At 46.0% G+C, this 21743-nt stretch overlaps 1 protein-coding gene and 1 pseudogene across 3 annotated transcripts in view; both read right to left on the minus strand.

Moving 5' to 3' along the window:
- PDE10A (phosphodiesterase 10A) overlaps window positions 1–21743 on the minus strand; it is a 660764-nt gene that overhangs the window by 377053 nt on the left and 261968 nt on the right. For all 3 annotated transcript variants that reach the window (XM_011535387.4, XM_017010194.3, XM_017010197.3), the window contains exon 3: window positions 6678–6812. In XM_011535387.4, the coding sequence (XP_011533689.2) occupies window positions 6678–6812 (135 nt within the window). The remainder of the gene's footprint in view (window positions 1–6677; window positions 6813–21743) is intronic.
- Window positions 13894–13997, minus strand: RNU6-730P (RNA, U6 small nuclear 730, pseudogene; annotated as a pseudogene).

The following is a 21743-nucleotide window of genomic DNA, read 5'->3' on the forward strand; positions in this document are numbered from 1 at the left end:
CCCAACCGGCAACACTGGTGCCCAACCCAGTACGGTAGGATATACTCAGCTGAGATAACATCAGCAAAAATGCGCAGCAGGAATAATAGGGACCTAGATGTTGCTGCAGCCTTGTTTTTATTTTTATTTTTTTGGTATGGAGGCTCTTCCAAGAAGAGTTTACACAAAGTTCACACACATGATCCCATCTGTCACCACTGAAACTCTGTAGAGAGGTTTCAGTTCTTCTCATCACACTTGCAAATACACCAATGTGTTGACCATTAAAATGAAAAGAAAAATCAGAGTCACCAACAGCAAAAAATAAATAAATAAAATAAAATCTGTCAGTTAAGTTTTGTGAGCAGGTTTCACTTCACAGGAACTATCTCTTTTTGTGGATGTATGAGAAGATTGAGAAATCAAACACAAAAAGAGATGCAAAAACAAACAGGCAAGCAAAACCATCTTCCCTGTTTCAGACTTGATCATTTTGTGCCTTTTGATCAAGGTGGGGAAAGGCGTACTTAGACAAATAGCAAACTGACTCCATCGACAGTCCATGATGGACCATTACGGTGTCTACCAGGGCTCCCCTCATTCACAGGATAATTTGTACCACACTGCCTTCCACATCTTCCCCTGTTGTGTCCTCCCAGGAGTCATCCACTCTTCACTGCAGACCCTGCTGTCCCTGTTTGCCATGTCTCAAAGCACGAGCCCTGTTCCCACACAGGGTGCTTCTTGTGGTACCACCCGCCCCCAGCATGGCACGCACACCCAGGGGACACCTGGGGACCAGCATGGAATGGGTGAAGCCTGGATGGGGCAGGGCTCACTGTACCTGTTTACTGGGGTTTGAATCCAGGTTGTCTCTACTCCTGAGACAGGTGAGGTTAAGACCAGGTAGAGATCATCTCAGCTGGAACAGCTGGCTAGATTGCTTAAATCCCTCCGAAAGGAGCACAGCCTTCCAGCGTGGCCTTCATGCCACTGCAGACTGCTCCAGCTGCCTACAAATGCCACCCAGATGCCAGGGTCCCACTGGTGACTTCTGAGACAGTACCCAAAGGACGTGGGGCTCAGGAGTTCTTGTACAGTTTTCTAAGATACAGCCTTTAAAGCTAACGTTAGTGGTTTAGACTTCAGTAAGCTCCCCATAGCACCTAGCTCGGTGCCTGATGCAGAGCAGGTCTTCACAAAATACTGCAGTGGGAAGGCAAATTTCATGAATTCAAAATGTTATTCAAATAATTTGTGGTAACAGAATTGTGGTATGTCAAATATAATTGACAATAAATCAAGCTTCAGCTGGAAAATTATTCATACTACATAGCTTTTGGTTATAATTCTTTTGATTTTTATGGCTATGATAATTAGATAAAAGATAATTTTGATAAAAGGCAGAATATGAATCTATTTTTAAAAAAAGATGCCATGACTTTAAAAATATTACCATCATCTGTGTGCTATTAAATAAAGCAAGCAATGGGAATTTTTAAATTTGCATTCAAAACGTAACTTTCTCTCCTCCAAAAAGAGCTAAGATTGCTTTTAATAATAGCAGAAGTGTAAGAGAAGGAAAAATGGATTTGCCCAAAATCTAAGCAGCCACAGTTCCTGTTGTGAGTGGTCAGTGGGGACAGTGACATGCACATCCAACAACTTGGGGGAAAAGAAAATGTGTGTTCTCTGCGAAGGGCGGCCACACTCCTAATGCATAGCTCTCACAGCACCAGTGACAGTAGCACATCCCAGGAACATGCAGAGGGAGTGCTGACATGGGGAAGCCAGTTCCAGAAATGCACATTCCAGGAGTGCTTGGCTTTGCAGTGCGGGAAAAAGATGATCTGAGAGGCAAAAGCAAGTCACCAGAAAAATGTTCTCAATGGGGCGACATGAATATTTCAGTGATGTTACTTTGGTGTAGATAAAATGTCCTTCAAGATAATGATTTCCCTTTGCCTTAATCCTATGCTTACTAAGCCAGCTTCTGATGATGACGGTTTTGGCTTCCTAGATATCTCAGTATCAGGACACAGGTTTCCATGGGTCATGGACAGAAACATTCGGGTTGCTAGAATGAGATTATTGCCATTGTAAGTCAATCCATTTGTGTTCTGATGAATACATATTATTGAGGTTAATCAATAAAGTCCATTTCTGATCCTTCATAGCTAAGGATAAGAATTGAACCAAAGTCAGTCACTGTCCCTTCCTCCCTAGCCTGCCAATACTATCTTATTGACACCCCAGGGCTTCAGTGTTAACATTTTCTCCTCAATAAATCTTCACAGTCTGTGACTAAATCAGCACATTTTGCTAGGAGCTTCCAAGTAGCCAAGACAAAAAAGGAAACTTGGAGAGTAATTTTCATTGCTTGATAAAAGGATCCTTTGTGAACTAATATTAGGAGATACTAAATTCTATTTTAATTTACCATTCAGACTTTAGGGAGAAAAAGGCTTATGAATAACAGATTTACGTGGTTTCATTCAAAGAAAAGCGGATTTTTCAAAAGATTTTAAAAAAAGGAACACTATCCTTAGCCTTCATCCCAAGCCCATCCCTATCAGCATTCCATTAACAAAAGCAGGCACAGTCTTGTATTATGAAAGAAACAATAAGTGATTTTGAATTTACTTAAGCTTTTAGACAATGTTCACCCAGTAAGCCTGTCTAAGAATGCTAGCATACAAAAATTATAATCCAAAAGTTTGTTTTTAAGTCGATTGCTTAAAACACAGGGACTATTTTCCCATAGAAACAGTCTCAAAATTATGGAAATTCCTGGGGAAAGCCCAGAAAACCCTATTTGACCCTCAAAGTAGCTGGAATGGTGCTAACAGTGATCCTGATCAGACTCCAAGTTTTGGTACCTGGTCCTTGAGCCAGAGTCCAGCTGCTGCGGCTCCCCCAGTCCCGCCCTGGTCCCCAGGGGATGGGTGGCGGGCAGCTTGGTCCTCTCCTCTGCTCAGAACCACGGGCTGAGCCTGCTCAGACTCTAGTTCGGGGCCCTGCACAGAGCAGGGTTTGCAGCTCACTCAGGGGCGCTCAGAAGGCCTGCTTCCCTCTTCCACCTTCTGAGAGTCCAGCGTCTCTATCCCTCAGAGGCCTCACCTCAAGGTGTTGAGAAACCGCAGTTTTCATTTCACTGAATTTTGGTTAACTTAACTACGGCAGCCCCACGTGTCAGGTGGCTACCAATTGTGTGAGGACATTTTCATTGCTTTTCACCCTGGAACTGGACATGCTTGCACTGTGTGTGTGTGAGTGTGTGACAGTGTGTGTGCATGTGTGAGCATGTGTTGTGTGTGTGCGCATGTTTGGGTATATGTGAGCGTGTGTGTGTAAGCGTATGTGAGCATGTGTGTGAGTGTGTGAGACTGTGCGTGTGTGTATGAGTGTATGTGTGAGTGTGTGTGGGAGACTGAGTGTGTGAAAGTGTATGTGTGTGTGAGATTGTGTTTATGTGTGTGTGTCTGCAGCTTCCTGGGTGCTCTTTTCCTTTAGGGGATCTTGAATACACAGCTCAGCAGCCCTTCCCTATGATCAAGGCTGAACACAAAGGGGCAGAGTTTGCTCTTTAACCTCCTGCAGATAAGAGAAGATTCCCCTGTGCTGTTAGACTATCGCCATGTGCGTCTCATAGGACTCAACCCATCTGCCCCGCCCCAGATTTTTAAAAACTCAACACAAACCAACCCTCTTGACTTCTGCCTCCTTGCCAGCTATCCTTCCATTTCTCTGTTCTTTAAAACAGAACTTTCTGGAAGAACTGTCTGCACGTGCTGGCTCCACTCCTGCCCTCGCATTGGAAGCCCCGGGAGCTGGGCTGTCAGGCACCTCCGGCGGCCACACTGCAGAGCCCCGGTCAGGTCACCACGGACTCCACCTGCTTAACTCATGCCGTCCGTCCAGCATTTCTCACAGCTGCTCACTGACTCCTGGAGAGGCTTCCTGGCTTGGTTTCTGGCCGTCACACCGGGCCTCCCCCATCCCTCTCAGCCTCACTGTGCCCTGTTTGCTGAGGCTGCCCTCCCAAGGTGATCTCCTCCAGGAGGACCCGTTCATGCATCTTCCCAGGACCCACATTTGCATCTTCATCTCCTGTCAGTGCCCTCTGCACCAGAACCCTGCATTTCATGTCCGCTCAGGGACTTCTGGACGGATATTTATCAGGCTCCGCACTCTCAGCACATCCCCAAACACGGTTCTCAGTGCCTCCACCCCCACGCCTGCATCGTCCGTGCTCCTCCCCATCAGAACAAATAGGCCCAGGGCAAAAACACAAAGCAAAATGAAACCAACCCAGGAATGCCTCCTTGCATCCAATCGACCCGGCCGACCCACTCTCCCTCTCCATGCTCCTGCGCTCTCCTCACCACTCTCTACCCCCATGCTGCGGCGCTCTGCCCCCACTCTCCACCGCCATGCTGCCACGCTCACCCCCCACTCTCCACCCACATGCTGCCGCGCTCTCCCCACACTCTCCACCCCCATGCTGCCACGCTCACCCCCACTCTCCACCGCCATGCTGCCACGCTCACCCCCCACTCTCCACCGCCATGCTGCCACGCTCACCCCCCACTCTCCACCCCCATGCTGCCACGCTCACGCCCCACTCTCCACCCCCATGCTGCCACGCTCACCCCCCACTCTCCACCCCCATGCTGCCACGCTCACCCCCCACTCTCCACCCCCATGCTGCCACGCTCACCCCCCACTCTCCACCGCCATGCTTCCGCGCTCTTCCTCCCACTCTCCACCCACATGCTGCCGTGCTCTCCCCACACTTTCCGCCTCCATGCTCCCACGCTCTGTCCCCACTCTCCACCTCCATGCTCCTGCACTCTCCCCACCACTCTCCTGCCCCATGCTGCCCTGCTCTGCCCCCACCCTCTACCCCATGCTCCCGTGCTCTCTCCCCACTCTCCATCCCCATGCTGCCACGCTGTCCTCCCACTCTCCCCACCATGCTGCGGCGCTCTCCCCCCACTCCACCGCTATGCTGTGGTGCTCTCTCCCCAACCCCAATGCTGCCGCGCTCTCCCCGTACCCTCCACCACCATGCTGCCGCGCTCCCTCCACTCTCCACCCCCATGTTGTCATGCTCCCTCCCACTCCCCACTCCCATGCTTTTGGGCTCCCTCCACTCTCCACCCCCATGCTCCCGCGCTCCCCCCAACTCTCCACCCCCATGCTGCTTCGCTCTCCCTCCCCTCCACTCTCTATCCCCATGCAGCCGCGCTATCCCCCACACTCTCCACCTCCATGCTGCTGTGCTCCCTCCACTCTACACCCCCATGCTGCCTCTCTCCCCCGCCACTCTCCACCCCAATGCTGCGGCTCTCCCCCGCCTCCACTCTCCACCCCCATGCTGCGGCACTGTCCCCCCACTCTCTACCCCCATGCTGCCAGGCTCTCCCTCTGCGAGCCGCAACCATGGCTCTTTCCTTCCCGGCATCTCTGCTTCCAGCCTCGCTGTCCTGCGGTCCCTTTCACAGAAGACTGAGTGGTCTTTGAAAACTACCTGTTGCATTGCTTCACTCTTTTGCTTCAAATTTTCCAGAGCTTTCCCACTACTTAAAGATCAAGACCTATCACCTCTAAGGACTGTAAGAACTTGCCCCTTCCAATCCCTGTGACGGCCTCACCTCTGCTTTCTCCTTGCTGGCTGCATTTAGGCCATCTCACAGTTTTGCTCAGCCCTGAACATACCAACTCAGACCTGCCTCAGTGCCTTGACGCCTGCTCTTCTCTCCACTGGACGCTCACTCGAATCTTCACGTGCAGGCTCCTATTTCTAACAGCGCCGCCACTCTGAGAGATGCCACTTATGCTCTAAGCCCACGCAGCACTGACCACTCTCTGAAGCTACAGCGAATGTTTGCTTCCTGAGTGCTTCTTCCTCAAGTAGAATATGAACCCCTGGACACAAGGACTGTATCTTGGTCCTAATTGCATTACTAGGACAAAGCTACACATAGCAGGGGCAAAAACATATTTGTAGAAGAATGAACCCACTTCACCCCTTGCGTAGCGCTCTCACCTAAACGGAGCCCTCCACTGGCCAAGTGCAAAGTCCTTTTAGTTTTTGTGAATATATAAAAACAGACAACTAAGATGTTACGATGTTTTCCTGTTATAGACACACCTAAATACGCAAACTGATCCCTTTTAAAGAGGGTCGTCACTTTCTCTACCTTAGAAACAGAGAAAAGCACTTTTCGTTTTGTATTTTAGAAAATTTGCTTCCAAAGTTCCAATAATCCCATTTCATAACGTTTTTGAATAAATCAGGAGCTTTTGGTGGGGTTCTTAAGTTTAGCAATAAAAGTCATCAGATAAAAATAATGTAAATTATTTTCTCATTGAATGTGCCCTTGCTTGTGAGTAAGGGTGTTACCGTCATTGTAATGTTAAATGACTAATTTGGCTGCTGTATTAATCAAGAAAGTACCCAACTTAACTTCAAAAAATAAAAGGGGAAAGACATACAAAGTGCTTAGAAAAATCACTTAAAACCATGTCTGCATTCCTGGGCCCTGATCAAAAATACCCATGTCTTTCCTAATCATAGGCAATTTTCTCAACTGCTTTGCCCATGAGGTCCCGGCTAAGAGCCGTAAGAGAATGCCAGGAAGGGCAGACCATCCCCGTGGGAGGCGGAACGGCAGAGCGGGTTTCCTTTTTACCTGGCGCACTGCAGGGGTCCAGGGTGCCTTCTGCTGGGTCATCGCTCATCTGCGCCCGGGGGTCTGTCCCGCTCCTCAAAGCCAACAAAGCGGGTCCTTTGCTCCCACCTTTAAGCATGAAGGGGAGGCGGCTGGCTGGAGAGAACAACAGGGATATGACGTTAGCAGTAAGTTCTACTAAATACACCGTTAGAGTTGGGAGCAGGGCTCTTCTGAAAACCTCATCTTGGATGGGTAATTTACAGAGGTAAGTGCCTGGGGCTCCCATTGGCCCTTCAAGTTGGGCACTGTGGCACCATTACAGATGGTATGATTCAGCGTGCTAAAGGCAGCTGTGGTCTGGATGCCGTGCTGCACGTGCAAACACAGGTCCTAATGCTTGATTCAGAGCCACGGAGACCAGAAATTCATGTTAGCTAGAACACCCTGCTTCTGGTCTTGTCTGGTGGACTCTGCGAGTTAGCTGTCTGGAGAGGGCCTTAAGTCACTCTCCATTTGGAGGTTTTCTTGAGGGGATTTTAGTTCAGTTAGTTCAGCCTGCGCTTTCTAGATCCTCCAGCCAGGCCCAAACGCTGAGGAATGTGAGTGTGTGTCTTGGTAGGGTCAATGAGATGAAGGTAAGAGAAGAAACGAAGATGAAAAGTGAGACTCAGGAAGCCCCTTTAATACCTGCTGAGCTACGTTCAGCTCAGGCACAAGCCTGTTCAGAACAACCCAGGAACTGTGCTAATTCACTCGTCAGACCAGCGAACCTCAAATGCATTTTTGTGGCAGTCATGCCTGTGTTATATTGTCTGTACCTTAGTGTAAAATGCTTTAGCATAAACAGCGGGATGTAGGAGTGTGTTGGTTGGTTTTATTCTGCATCCTAGGGGTGATTGGTGACTGGGGCAACCTGATCAGTGACATACTTCACAAGTGTTTAATATTTGAAAGAAACATCCAACTCTTGGACCCCACAGGTGGCCACTGTGAATTCCTCACTGGTCTTTATTGCTGATGGGCCCTGGAAGGTTTGTAACAAGCAGAATGGATGTCCGTGTGGTTTTTCAGTGGTGAAGTGAGTGGACATCAAGGAAGGGGCACGGGCTGGAGGGTTCTGGGCTCCACCGTAGTGGTGTGGAGGAGGAAAAGGGTTCTACGATGCTTTCCAGCACTGGGAGCTGTGCCTGGAGGGGTGTGACATCAGTGGGACTCAGAGGTTAATTGGACACTGCTACCAGGATGATCCTGACTTGCCTTGAAGGACCGTTTCATGAAAAGTGATTAGCCGAATGCCCGAAGAGTAGGCTACTCATCAAATCTACAACACGTGATGTGCGGCTTGCTGCCTGCTCCCCTCCTGATGTGTGCATGTGCTGTGGGGCTCGTCTGAGACTTCCTTCAACTATAAGGTACCCCTGGGAGGCAGGTTACAGGAACAGGGCTCTGTGCTGTTTGCTCAGCTCTAACTGCTGGGCCCCTGGCATCTTCCATTAAGAACTTGTTGGTTGTGAAACACCAAAGCGGCCTGGATCAGTTTGCAAATTCAGCTTTTCTGCTGTTGAAAGTAATTTGTTACAATAAACATGAACTAAAATGCCAAAGCATGAGGAACGTTTCAACTTTCTTTCTTTTTTTTTTTTTTTTTTTTTTTTTTGAGGTGGAGTCTCGCTCTGTCGCCCAGGCTGGAGTGCAGCGGCGCGATCTCGGCTCACTGCAAGCTCTGCCTCCCGGGTTCACGCCATTCTGCTGCCTCAGCCTCCGGAGCATCTGGGACTACAGGCGCCCGCCACCACGCCCGGCTTATTTTTTGTATTTTTTAGTAGAGACGGAGCTTCACCGTGTTAGCCAGGATGGTCTCGATCTCCTGACCTCGTGATCTGCCTGCCTCGGCCTCCCAGAGTGCTGGGATTACAGGCATGAGCCACCGCACCCGGCCCGTTTTAACTTCCTTTAAAAATACACTGTAGATTTTTATCTCCTCTTTGCAATCTGAAATACTTTCTAGTGAGGCAAGGATGGGCTCAGGCCCTGTTTCAGTCATCCAGTGCGAATTGCCACGGCCTTGGTCATTACAAAGAGAGAGTGCCGCACACGTGAACTCAAAGTCAGCGAGGCTTGAGAACTGCTTTCTAGACCTACACCCTCAGGGTCCCAGCCTTGCAGTAAAACCACAAAGGAGCAGATCACGAGTGCCCGTGGGGTTCAGACTCTGGGGAATCCCTCCCTTCTAGCAGAACTCACACCTCCAGGGCACCTGCAGTGTGAATTTACACAAGTAAATGAAGGAATGACTGGGGAAATTTTCCCAATTACCATGCATAAAGAGTATGCTTGTTTCCATAGGGAGTGACCAGTGACTAGGAGAAATAAAGCAACTACCTTCAGAAGTGACGTAAGATTTAATTCCCAGTTAGACAGTGGCATGTGGGGCTTAGCATTGTCCGTTTTCACAAGTGTGTCGGGAAGCTTGCTTGCACTACAGAGGATTATTAGATTGGGAACTACCCCACAAGATGCTCAGAAGAGCTGGCCTGTGTGCGTGGCAGCAAGGGCTTGGGACCAGGAGAGGAGGGAGGGTGGCTGACAGATAAGGTTTGACGACAAAGAAGATCATTGGAGGAAAGAAGACCAGACCTACCGCAAACACCGATGCTTTCTAAAAAATGTTCGATCCAGTCCTCTCTATCAGGAGAGAAACAGGACTTCTGTGTGTAGTGTGTCTGAGTGTAATTATCAACTGGTGTTTGCAGATCTCTGTATCTCTATTCTTACACTTGGTACATTATTAACAGAAGAAAACTGAGGTCACAGAAGTTTGAAATGAAAGATTATATGACAGTCAATTATAAATAATTTCTAAGTCCTATGTATAGCAATTAGAGCGCTTTATTGCTGCGGAAGATTTTTGATATGTCATAAGTATTTTGGATTGAAACACATGTCACACATTACAAAATACTTTAAGCCTGCCTTACTGAGGTGTGGTTGATGCATACACTGCCCATGTATAGGGAGGGCAGCTGTGTGAGCTCTAATACATGAATGTGCCCAGGAAACCATGACCACCACAACATTCTGAGTAATTAGAGTTGTGTGGAAACAAAAACCAAAACCAACCAAATGGCAGGGGTCCCCTATTGCGTATCTGCATTTGGAAACTCCTGGGTACCACTGGGCAGCTCAGTGTTCATGCCTCATACACAGAACCAAGCTCTGCGTGGGCAGTCAGGATTTCCTACTGACGCCCACCCTTGACCCGATGGGAGCCTGCAGAGGGGGTGGCGTGCCGTAGCCACTCCTGCCCTCTGTGGGGAAAGCGGGGAACAGGAGTCACAGGTTTGCCGTTTGTGAACCTCCAGGCCGCCAGTCCTGTGAGTCTGATCATGTACACTCTGTCACATTTCCGTACATCAGAATGATTTCTGAATCTAAACACCAAAGCCAAGCTTTCTTTCCAAAATAAGAGGAATAGACAGAGATCGACACTCAGCTGCAGATCAAAATAAATTCAAGGCTGGTAGGTGATGTGGCAACCCCAGGGGCTGGGCTGGGGCAGCCAGGGGAGGGGATCCCCCTACTCGAATCCAGGCACAGCAACCCCATTCGCAGCCCATCCACAGGGGTGTCCCAGGGTTAGAGCCTGGAGGGTGCCAAGGAGTGAGTTTCAGTCAGGGAAACAGGAACCAAATTGCAAAGAAGATAAAAATCCATGAATCCCTGCCCTAAAGAAACAGGAGTCTGTGCAGCCAGTGGATGCACCCCCAGAGTCTCAGGCAGGAGGAGAGTGACTGTTCAGTGGACAAAGTGGTGGCGGATTGTGGCCCAGTCCCAACCCACAGCGACAGAAGAACCTGTTGAACCTGGGGACAATGGTCTGAGGCTCCACCACTGGGGAGCACCCCCTTCCCCAGCCCAGGGCAAGTAGAACCCCCTCAGTGGGTTGTTCCCTTGCTCTCCGCAAAGCCCTGAGGAGCACAAAGACCCGGTGTGAACTGAGAGCTCTGGGTGCACAGAGCAGGGCAGGAGTGCCTGGGCAGGAACCCACGGGCCGCGAGGGTAGAGTATTGGCTCAGCCTGCAGGGACGGCCGCCCGAGAACCCCCGAGGGACGCTGCAGTGCAGCAGGGCTCAGTGACCAGGTGCGGCCGGCGCTGCTTACACTCATGCGGGCTGTGCACCCAGACGGGCCTGCGCCCTCATTCACTCGCAGCAGGTGGCGAGGCTTAGGGACATACAGGTGACACACAGGTCTGGGATAAACAATCATATTTTTATACAGATGAAAATCAGGATTTAAAAATGTTTAATAATAAGATAAAAAACATTAGTCCTAGAACCATACGCTGTCCACGCACTCAAAAATCAGCCAACAGAAGTGGTGTGTGCGTCAGCTGAGCATTATATAAATTCGAGCCAATGTTGTATTTAGATTTTTTATTTTCCCCAAATCGACCATCCAGCAGGTTCCAGGAATGCTGTGTTTTGGGTCGGCGAAAAGACCACATTCCCCCAAAGGAACCTGTAGGGAAGTAATAGATTCCAAGGGAATGAAGGGGAGAAGGAGGAGGGAGAGGTGAAGGGAGACACGCACCCATGCACATGCATGTACACATGCACACACGTGAACACACGTGCGCACACACACAGACTCTCTCAGTGTGTGAGGGGCTAGTGCATGGATAATGGATCAGGTGGTTTGTCCAGGAAAGAAGACAGCATGTTACCTGCTGCATAGAAAGCAAAGGACCCTCAATCACTCGACAGTAGGGGGACGTCCCTCTTCCGGGCACCGTGGTCAGAAGGCAGGGGTTAGACCCTAATTTCCCGTCTGTGTGTCCTCTCCTGTGGCATCACGAATGTTACTGCACATTACTTTCTCCTCAGCTTTATTCTGTCCTACCAGACAGTCAGGTCTCCTCTTCTTATTTATACCCTGCCTGGGAGCTTTCTGTAATAGTGAATGCAGGCTTTTTGCCCACGGAAGCCTCCCCTCCGGCTCCTGCACTAAAGTGCCCCTTACACGTTGAGGATAAACAATTAGAACGGAGCTGTTCTGAGAGAAAGACCGCCTCAGAGTGTGTTCTGCCTTGCAGACTGGATGAAGCCCAGGTGCCAGGGCTCAAACCCCGGCCCCAGCTACAGAGGTCTCTGCTCTTGGAGTGAGAGGCCTTCTGGGTGCTAAGACAAGGAGCTCTGGGTTCCGAGTCTCCACAAAATTCACAAATTATTGACTCATAATTGATTTGCTGATGAACGCACAGTATGATTGCTTTACAGCATCTTCCTCTCTTTTCTTCTCTAACTCGCCCATGCATACTGCAGGGCCATGCAGAGAGGACACTTCAGGATTAAATGCAAGCTGCCTGGGCCTCCCAAGGAAGTGGGATCCAATGTGAAGGATCTGAAACTGACTGCACACCTTATCTTCTAATAGGAAGGCAGAGGCAGTGGTATCATTTGCTGTAAGCATGCTTTAAAGGATTTGTTCTAAGAAAAAGATATTGGAGTTAATGATTAGCACCATCAGTGACTTGGGAGCAGTTTCAATGGAATACTGGAGAAACGAGCCTGTTTGAGAAGAGCAGAGTGATGACAACATTTGGATGAAGGATTAAGGGTGTAAAGCCCTGGAGAAGAATGGAAGAACTTTATTTTCCCCCCACATTTAGGAAAAAGGGGTCATGGGTGTGGATCAAGAGAATTCTGTTATGAAGAAAAGCAAGGGAGAGGAGGAACTAAGGATGGCTCTGAGTGTCTAAATGGAATGAGATGTCTAAGAACCAAAATCTTTTATTTGCAATGGCTATTCTTGATTTTTAAAGAAAATTACTTTTAAAATCATGGTAAGAACATACATAAAATTCATCATTGTAAGCATTTTAGACTGTGGCATTAAGTACCTTCACACTGATCAGCCGTCACCACCGTCCATCTCCAGAACACTTTTCGTCTTGCAAAATGGAAACTGTGTCCCTATTAAACACTAATTTCCCATTCCTCTCCCCTCATTTTCTGAAAACCACTATTCTGCCTTCTGTTTCTATACAATTGACTTCTCTAGGTGCGTCATGGAAGTGGAATGCACAGTATTTGTTTTTTATGTGACTGATTTATTTCACTTAGCACAATGTTCTCAAGATTCATCCATGTTGTAGCCTGTGTCAGAATTGTCTTCCTTTTTAAGGCTTAGTAATATTTCACTGGATGGACACACTACAATCTGTATATCCACTCCTCCACTGAGGGACACTTGACTTGCTTCTACCTCTGGGCTTTTGTCATAATGCTGCTATAAAAATGTGTACAGGCCAGGCACAGTGGCTCACGCCTCTAATCCCAGCATTTTGGGAGGCAAAGTGGGTGGATCACCTGAAGTCAGGAGTTTGAGACCAGCCTGACCAATATGATGAAACCCTGTTTCTACTACAAAAATTAGCTGGGCGTGGTGGCTTGTGCCTGTAATCCAAGCTACTCGGGAAGCGGAGACAGGAGAATTGCTTGAACCTGGGAGGCGGAGGTTGTAGTGAGCCTAGATCATGCCACTGCATTCCAGCCTGGGCTACAGAGAGAGACTCCGTCTCAAAAAAAAAAAAGTGTATAAATGTCATTTTGAAATCCTGCCTTCATTTCTTTTGAGTATATATCCAGAAATGGAATTGCTGGATTATTCCGTAATTCTATGTTTAATCTCTTGAGGAATTGGCAACTGTTTCCTGCGATGGTTGCACTGTTTTACATTCCCACCAGCAATGCACAAGGGTTCCAGTTTGTCTGTCTTTTATTTATTGTTTTGTTTCAATCACAGCCATCCTCATGGGTGGGGAGTGGTAATGTCTGGGGATGTCGAGCTCCTATTCATGTGCTTGCTGGCCATCTGTATATCTTCTCTGGAGAAACATCTACTCAAGTCCTTTGCCCATTCTGAATCAGGATGTCTGGGGTTTTTTTGTGGTCGTTGAGTTGCAGGAATTCTTTGCATAAGCTGCATAACAATCCCTTATCAGTTATATGACTCATAAATATTTTCTCCCGTTCCGTGGGTTACCTTCTCACTCTGTTGATTGTGTCCTTTGATGCACAAAAGTTTTTAATTTTGATAAAATCCACCTTATTGTTTTCTTTTGTTGCCTGTGCTTTTGATATCATATCAAATTCCCAAATTCAAAGTCTTGATGCTTTTTTCCTATGTTTTCTTCTAAGAGTTGCATAGTGGTCCATTTCAAGTTATTTTTAAAAATGTGTCATACTTCATGAATTTGCATGTCATCCTTGTGCAGGGACCTGGTTAATCTCTGTGTAGTTCCAATTTTAGTAAATGTGCTGCTAGAGCGAGCACTAAAAGAAAATTCTTGAAAAAATACATTATCATAAATAGATGAAAATAAATTTTGTTTATAACACACTGTCCCAAATCCCCAGAAGAAACAAAGGGTTTATGCTTTAGAGAAACTAAACCAGAGGGACTCTGGACTCAGACACACTGTGTGTAGTGAACGGACAAGGGTCTAGATAGAACAGGATGCAATGAGAATCAACATATCTGACTGTGAAGCACTCCTCTCCCCCACTGATTGCCCCAACCTCCCTGCTCTCTTCCTGTTCCTAGAATGCAGGCTTGTGTGTATATACCCGAACCCCCACCTTTTCCCCCCGGACGAGACACAGGAGAGTGTTTCCTGGAGAAGCTGAACTGTACAAAAGAAAAGACCTGCAGTTATTGAAGTTTAGGGAGTCATCCCTCCACCCCTCACCATAGTTTCCAATCTGCATTTTAGTGCCTTGCTCTTACATAGGAAAGAATGGCTAAGGATAACAAGATAACCAAGGAAAGCTTCCAACAAGAATGACTGAGGCTAAAATAATAAACAGTAAAAGGAAACTTGGAAAGAGACCATACAGGGAGGAAAAAAAAGTTGTTAAAACTATAATATTCTCAGAGGAAAAAGAAAAGATATTGCATTCATGTTAAAATAAAAGAATGTTATAAAAGAAGCAAGTGAAGAACAATATAGGGGTTTTGGAAATTGAAAATGGAATATTACAAATTTTAAAAACCAATAGTTGGAAGTATAAAATTGAAGAAATTCCCCAGAAAATAGAACAAAACCAGCAAAAGGACAGAAAAAATAAGAAACTTTGAGGATTAATTCAGGACAGAAAAAAAAGCAACTGAGGAAAAGAAATTATTAAAGAAGTAACACAGGAAAATCACCTAGGGCTGAAGTCCAGGAGTCTCATGTTCAATGGCACAGCACACACTGGGGCAATGGATGGAAGGAGACTGGCCCAAGGAACGTTCCTGTGAAGCTCATTATCGGCAGGGATCCAAAACAGAACCCAAGAGTGCCCAGAGAGGGAAAGCAGCCAGCAGGAAGAAAAGGGAAGAATAATGCTGTTCTATTTCTTAACAGCATTGTTGGACAGTAGGACACAGTGTAACAAAATGACAAGAATTCAAATGAAATATGATTTTCACCTGGAATTCTGTACTGGTTGAACATGTTGTGGTAGGATAGATTTTCAATCTAGTCTTAACAAAGGGAAAGCATGAGATACTGGGAGCAGCAAAGGAGCTTCCCAGAAGGAGGGTGACAGGAGGTTCCAGCACAATAAGTGTGTGACAGGTGTGCAACAGGTGTAACCCAGGTGGGTGGTAGGGCAGACGCTGCAGGTGAAAGCTCATGGAGCTGATGGCATGCTTTAAAACATGTTTGGAATACGGTTGGAAACTCTACTGTCAGTTCTGGGACAGATCTGTGACAGCATTTGGAAAAAAATAGGTATAACTAAAAAACTAAGCACATGAAGAAACAAGACTAATACTAATTGCAGGGAAAAGACAAGTTGTACAAGAGAGAAAAATGGAATCCAAGTACCCTATTTGGCTCAGGCTTGAGAGATAATTACAGGGACCAAATAACTAACACCACAGCTTTAGCCAATAATCATGATCTCATCACACAGAGTCCACAAAGGTGTGTAAAACGTGAGGATCGGGGAGGAACTGCTGCGAGAATTTGGTTCCCTGTTCCGTAACAGGCGCTCAATAGACAACGTCTAAAGAAACAAAGTAATTATTCACAAAATAGTGATGTATTATCTAGGAAAAAGAAAATAAATTTCTGAAACAGCAGAAATAAGAGGCTTGGAAGTGGCTGTTCCGTGTGGAAATCAGAGGGATGGGGAGAGGGGGAGAGAGGGTGTTCCTGTATTTTGTTTTATGCATTTCAGTACTATTTATTTTTTTGATGATCATATCTTACTTTGAGGTATTTTTTGAGGTTTATCTATACTTTTCTGAATTGCAGCATGTCCTGCTATCAGAGTCACTGATAGTTTATAAAAGCCCCGATGTACAAATTAGGGAAAGGCAGAAGCAACCCCAGGCCAGCAGAGGTTTTGCTGAGAGCGGAATGGGCTGCACTTCAGTCCTTCTTGCCTCTTACACAGCGTTCAACTGGCAACTGTGCACAGCTACAGCTGCCCTACTCCCAAACCTAAAGAATAAAAAATCAGAAAGAAAAACCTGTCTGAAATTCTCCTAAGATCAAGTCTTATATCATCAAATGTCCCTTGAGGTAGGTATTTTTGAACTTCTGGTTTGGATGTGAACACCTGTTGGCTGAAATTAGCACCCATCGATCTACCGCCCTGAGAAGCATCTTTGAATAATACCCGGATAAGCACATATCCTTATGAGAGAAGGCTGGCCAGGCGTTTTAGGTGTTTCAGTCTGGTATGAACCAATGTAATGTGATTGCTAGGAGGAGGGTTCTCTCAAACAAGTTTAGGATGATCAGACAAAGACCAGTCTCCAGAAATGGAAGGTGGTCTCCACTCTATGTGGCTCTGGCCAGGCCATATATGGAGTTTTGTTCTCAACTCAGAGGTCCTGAGGGTCTAAGGAGGTCCATTGATCGTGCCCAAGAGGGAGTCTGCAATGTTCATGGGTTTGGAAGTCACTTTAAATAAGAAAGAATGTTGAGGACGTATGGAAAGTTATGTGTAAATAGTGTTAGGCATTAAGAATGTTACACGGAACAGTAACATATTGGACCTTTTTCAGGGTTAAGGAGTTAGGTGGAGAAAAAGATCAAATCAGGATAAAGAAGGATTTACGAATTCCGGTTGTGGTATTCAAAAGATAAAATGTGTTGTCTTGCAGTGTGGGGAGTAAAACCAGGCCACGGGGTGTGGCACAGGGTTTTCTTGACCTGGCTGAGAGCAACTTCCAGTGTGAAGTGTTTACGATTTAATGCGTTCATCCCTTCCCCTGAACCTAGAGCTGTGAAATTACATTTCAAAAAATCCTGGATTTTGGTGTTTGGTAACGAACGATTTCATTGTCAATCCAATTCATTACTTCTTAACTTGCAAGTCTGTATTGCTTCTTATTTGCTTCAAGGTAAGTGGATATTTTGAGGTATGAATAAAGACCCAAGAGAATTTCCTGAGAACTGTGCAGGAGACACTTTTTGTCATTCTTATTTCCTGTCCATACTCTAAGTGCCACTTACAGACCGTGAGGCCATAAGTGGTTCCAGATTCCATCAGTGGTCTATGATGAATGAAAAGGCAATTGAATCCAGATGCTTTTTCTGGTAAACAGTTCCTTTGTAGGAAAAATCAACAGAACAAGAAGGATATTCGATTTCCCCTTAGACACTCATTCCCATTCGAGAGAGATCTTTATGCCTCTGCACCCAGTAATTGCTCAGTCTCCATTTGTAGATTCACTATCTGTGCAAATATCACCTGTCTCATACCATCTTTTAATTACTTAATTGATTATGATGTTTTAAATGACATAAAAATATATAGTCTAATAAAAAGTATACTGATATATAAATGAAGAGACGCTAAGACGGATAAGGTTCCTAAAGCTCCTAAATCTTTCCTCTCAGAACTACTTATTACAGTCCCGCCACATCTAGCTACAAATCATTGGTGCAGAAATGAAACATTTCATGGAGTTACACTATTTTCAAAAGCTAAGGATTCCAAGGTGATTTCTTAAATATGCACTTAGCCACATACAAACAAATTTGTATACTTATTCAAAAATGTATTTTTGCAAAAATTTTCAAGTGGCACAGAATTACTTACGTGATGATGTCAGATACTTCTACCTGATTAATCTCATCTTACTGATAGATAAACTTCACGGAAATCTATGTGCAAAGCATGTCCAGTGCTGTGAGATAAACCAAATACGGTGCAGTTTCTTGGCTGCCTTCACCATTATCTGTGGAGCACAGAAGGCAGCCTCCTTTCACCCAGCACTGCTCCGTGTGTTTATAATGACAGCCCAAGTTTTAGAAGGTTAATTTCTACTCATATTCATGCTAGAACAATACCAGGTAAGAAAAGATACAGTAGTCCCCACTTATCCACATGGGATACATGTCAAGACATCCAACGGATGCCTGAAACCATGGATAGCAACAAATCCTGTGTATGCTATGTTTCTTCTTATACATATCTGTCTATGATCTAGTTTAATTTATAAATAAGGCACAACAGGAGATTAACAACAATAACTCATAATAAAATAGAACAATTATAACAACATACTGTCATAAAAGTTATGTGAGCGTGCTCTCTATCTCTCTCAAAATTCCTTAATATTTTCAGATCATAGGTGCCCAGGGGTAACTGAAACCATGGAAAGTGAAACCTTGGATAAGGTGGGAGATGGTGTCTACTGTACTTGTGAAGTCCGGTAAAGACATGTACGTAAGTTATATGAAGTCTGGAGTAGTTCCTGCTACTGAGCCTGCGAAAACATCGGAGTGAACATTTTACCTTTTCAGGTAACACAACATGAGATCCTACTGATCTTATAAATCCTTAAATAAAATTTGTTCATATATATATATATACACACACACACACACACATATACATATGTGTGTATATATATTTTAAGTTTTATATATATATATATCACCCAGAATCTTAATTTGAACTACGTTTTTGTTTGGATTGAATATAATAGAAGTCCCACTCCATTCAGTGTAACCAAAATGTGAACACACCATGCCAGCATCCTGAGCCTCACAGAACACAGGGAATGCCTATGCCTCGCTTGCTGATCTCCACTGACTCACAATCTAGTTGTGGCCTGAGACAAACACACCGCTGATCATCTTACTGAGAACCGTGGTCACAGCCACACAGCCACATGCACTTGGAGGCACCAGGTGGGGAGTCTCCCAGACAGGCAAAGCCATGGAAATCTCACCTGGAGCAAATCAAATTTCTGAGCTTTGCTCTCGACAATTTCTGGTGATTTGCTGTCTCTCCCTTGGCCAGTTCCCTCTATGCTTCCTCAGCCCTTTATTTTCTCTGTTGACTGGGAAGAGTGTTTGCCATAAATATAGAAAGATCTCCGAGTCCTTTATATTTACAACGTGACTGTGCTGCAAAAAATAGTGCGGTTTCCTTGTCCTTGTTCACATGAAACCCGGTGTGTGACACCCGGTAGTGGGATTTGCTCCTGACGGCACAGGCAGGCCGAGCTGGAATTCCAACTTGTGTCTGCCATGCTCCCCAGCTTCTGCTGGGCCGTGTGAATTCTGCATTTCACCATGCTCAAAATAGAGCATGTTTTGCCATAGCTGCTACCAATCCTATACTTTAGTTCTGTACTTTAGAAATAGCAGGGAAATGAATAACACCCAGCCTTTTCCAGAGAAGTAAGGTAGGACGTGAATTTTAACTATCTCATTTTTAGCTCTGTTTACGACATGAATTCTGTTTCGGACTAGTTGCCTCCAATTGGATACCTAAACATTTTAAAGCCATTTGGGAGGTATGGGAACAAACGAGAAATAAGATAAAGGTGTTTTTTTTTTTAATTTTCCCTTGGGGGTCAGTCTAAAATTTTATTCGGATAATAAAAATTCCTGAGAGATGCTGAAAAAGTAAAAAGCTGATTTCACTGAGAAGTGCGCGTCACAGGTTATGTAAGCGATTCCACAATCAGGGCTACTCCAGATTTCCAGTGTGCACTACAGGCTTCCAGTTAGTAGCATGCAATCCATCAAAATTAAGACAAGAGGACGGAATATTAGTCAGTGAACCACCACATATAAATTACCCCATTTGTGTGCACAGACAGGGCACACACTGGGCATGGTTTATGCTTGACGTCTTTGCCCTTTACTTACTAGGAAAAATTGGAAAGTTTATTTAAACTCATAGAATCACAGATGATAGATTTGGAAAAGACAGTAGAAGTCAACTAGTCTAACCCCTAGGGGCTCAGATTTTTTACCTATAACATGAGGTCATCAAATGCTTCCTGCTCTCTTTAGGGCCCTTTTGAGACTAAGAAGAGGATCACAGATGTGAACGCGTGTTGAGAAAATTAGGAGAGCTATGCAAGTGCAAAATTAAATTATCGCTTCTATTTTCATCATTATGATAGGCCTTCATACAGGTGGATAGCTGGATTCTCTGGAAAAGGCTAGCTGAATCAGGCTCGCCCCCATGGCTTCAGAACCTCCAAATTATTAGAGCTCCCTTTTGATATCCTCGTGGGCTTCGTCCTGTCACTTAGACTTTGAATATGCCAAGTGTAATTTTGAAGTTTCTTTTATCAGGCCTACCAGGCCCTTATAATTCTTCTAAGATAGGCTTACAAGAATAACTAATGGAAGTTTACCCAAAGTTTCTCATTTTCCCAGAAATGACTATAATCCAATGAGGTTTACTTATATGATCAGTAATAAGGTAGAAGGAAATACAGCCTGAACATCGCAGGAAGCAGTCAAGAGGTGAAACGTTTGGGAGTCGAGAGACTCCTGACCATTTATGGCAGCAGCATCGGCTTCCAGTGCATCTTCCTCACTACAGCAGAGGCAGGTTCCCTGGTCAGGGATGAGGACAGAGTCATAGTGGTGATATGGGAGGGGGGCTCGCAAGTGCTGGGTAGAGAAAGGCAGGGTCCCTGGCAAAGGCTCCACCCTCCGGCCTGTGCCCACAGACCTAGGTGAGAACAGGCATTTCTGTTTTCAGAACGATGTGGACGCCGAGGGAAATTTGGCTGAGGGTGGTCAGAGGAGAGTCCGGCTGCTGAGCAGCCTGACTCCAGGGGAAGACCACCTTCCCACTCCAGCCCTCTTCTGGCTCCCATTCATCTGCTGAGAGCCACTTCCACCACTCAATAAAACCTCACACTCATTCTCCAAGCCCATGTGTGATCCGATTTTTCTGGTACACTAAGGCAGAAACCCAGAATACAGAAAGCCCTCTGTCCCTGCAATAAGGCAGAGGGTCTAATTGAGCTATCACAAGCCACTGCAGATGGCAAAACAAAAAGAGCGCCCTGTAACACACACCCACTAGGGCTTTGGAAGCTGTACACACTCAACCCTAGAGGGTGCCATGGGGCCAGAGCCCAAACACGCCCCCCACAAGCTGCCCGTCTGCATGCTCCCCCTAGGGGTATGAGCAGTGGGGCACCCTAGAAGCAAGCCACAACCCCATCATACACCCTGCAAGGGGGATAAGGGAACTTTTCCCGTTTCAGTGGATCATGCTTTAGCCATCGGTTCCTGCCAGTCAGCACTTCTCAGAATAGGGGAGGCCCGTGGAGTCAGAGGTGAGGAACTGGATGTACTGAACCTGTCTCCTGATGCTCATTCTTCATAAAGTTGTTTTGCCTTATGTACTTACGAAAAAAATCAACCATTTCTACTTATTCCTCCGTAGCAATCTTGACCTGGAAGTCACGTTTGCCTCCCTTTCCATTATCCCCCATGCTCCTGTTTCTACCTGTAAAGACACATTCTTTCTGCCCCTAGCAAGCACAAGACGTATCCAACTTGTCCTCCCAGCTCCATGCCATCCTCAGCAAACTTTCAATGTGGCAGTTTCTTTATGTATCAGGTGAAGGAGCCTGCTGTGAGCTCTGGGGCTTTGAAGGAGTCTGTCCACTTGGCGCAGTGCAGGACAGGAACGGAGTTCAATTGGCACTACCCATGTTCTCCAGAGGCCTATGCTCATTACTAAGAGAATATGGTCTTAGAAATAAAAGCTCTACTTCCACTTGATTTAATATAGACAAGAACATAAT

The sequence above is a fragment of the Homo sapiens genome, chromosome 6 (genome assembly GCF_000001405.40).
Source record: "Homo sapiens chromosome 6, GRCh38.p14 Primary Assembly".
NCBI lineage: Eukaryota > Metazoa > Chordata > Mammalia > Primates > Hominidae > Homo > Homo sapiens.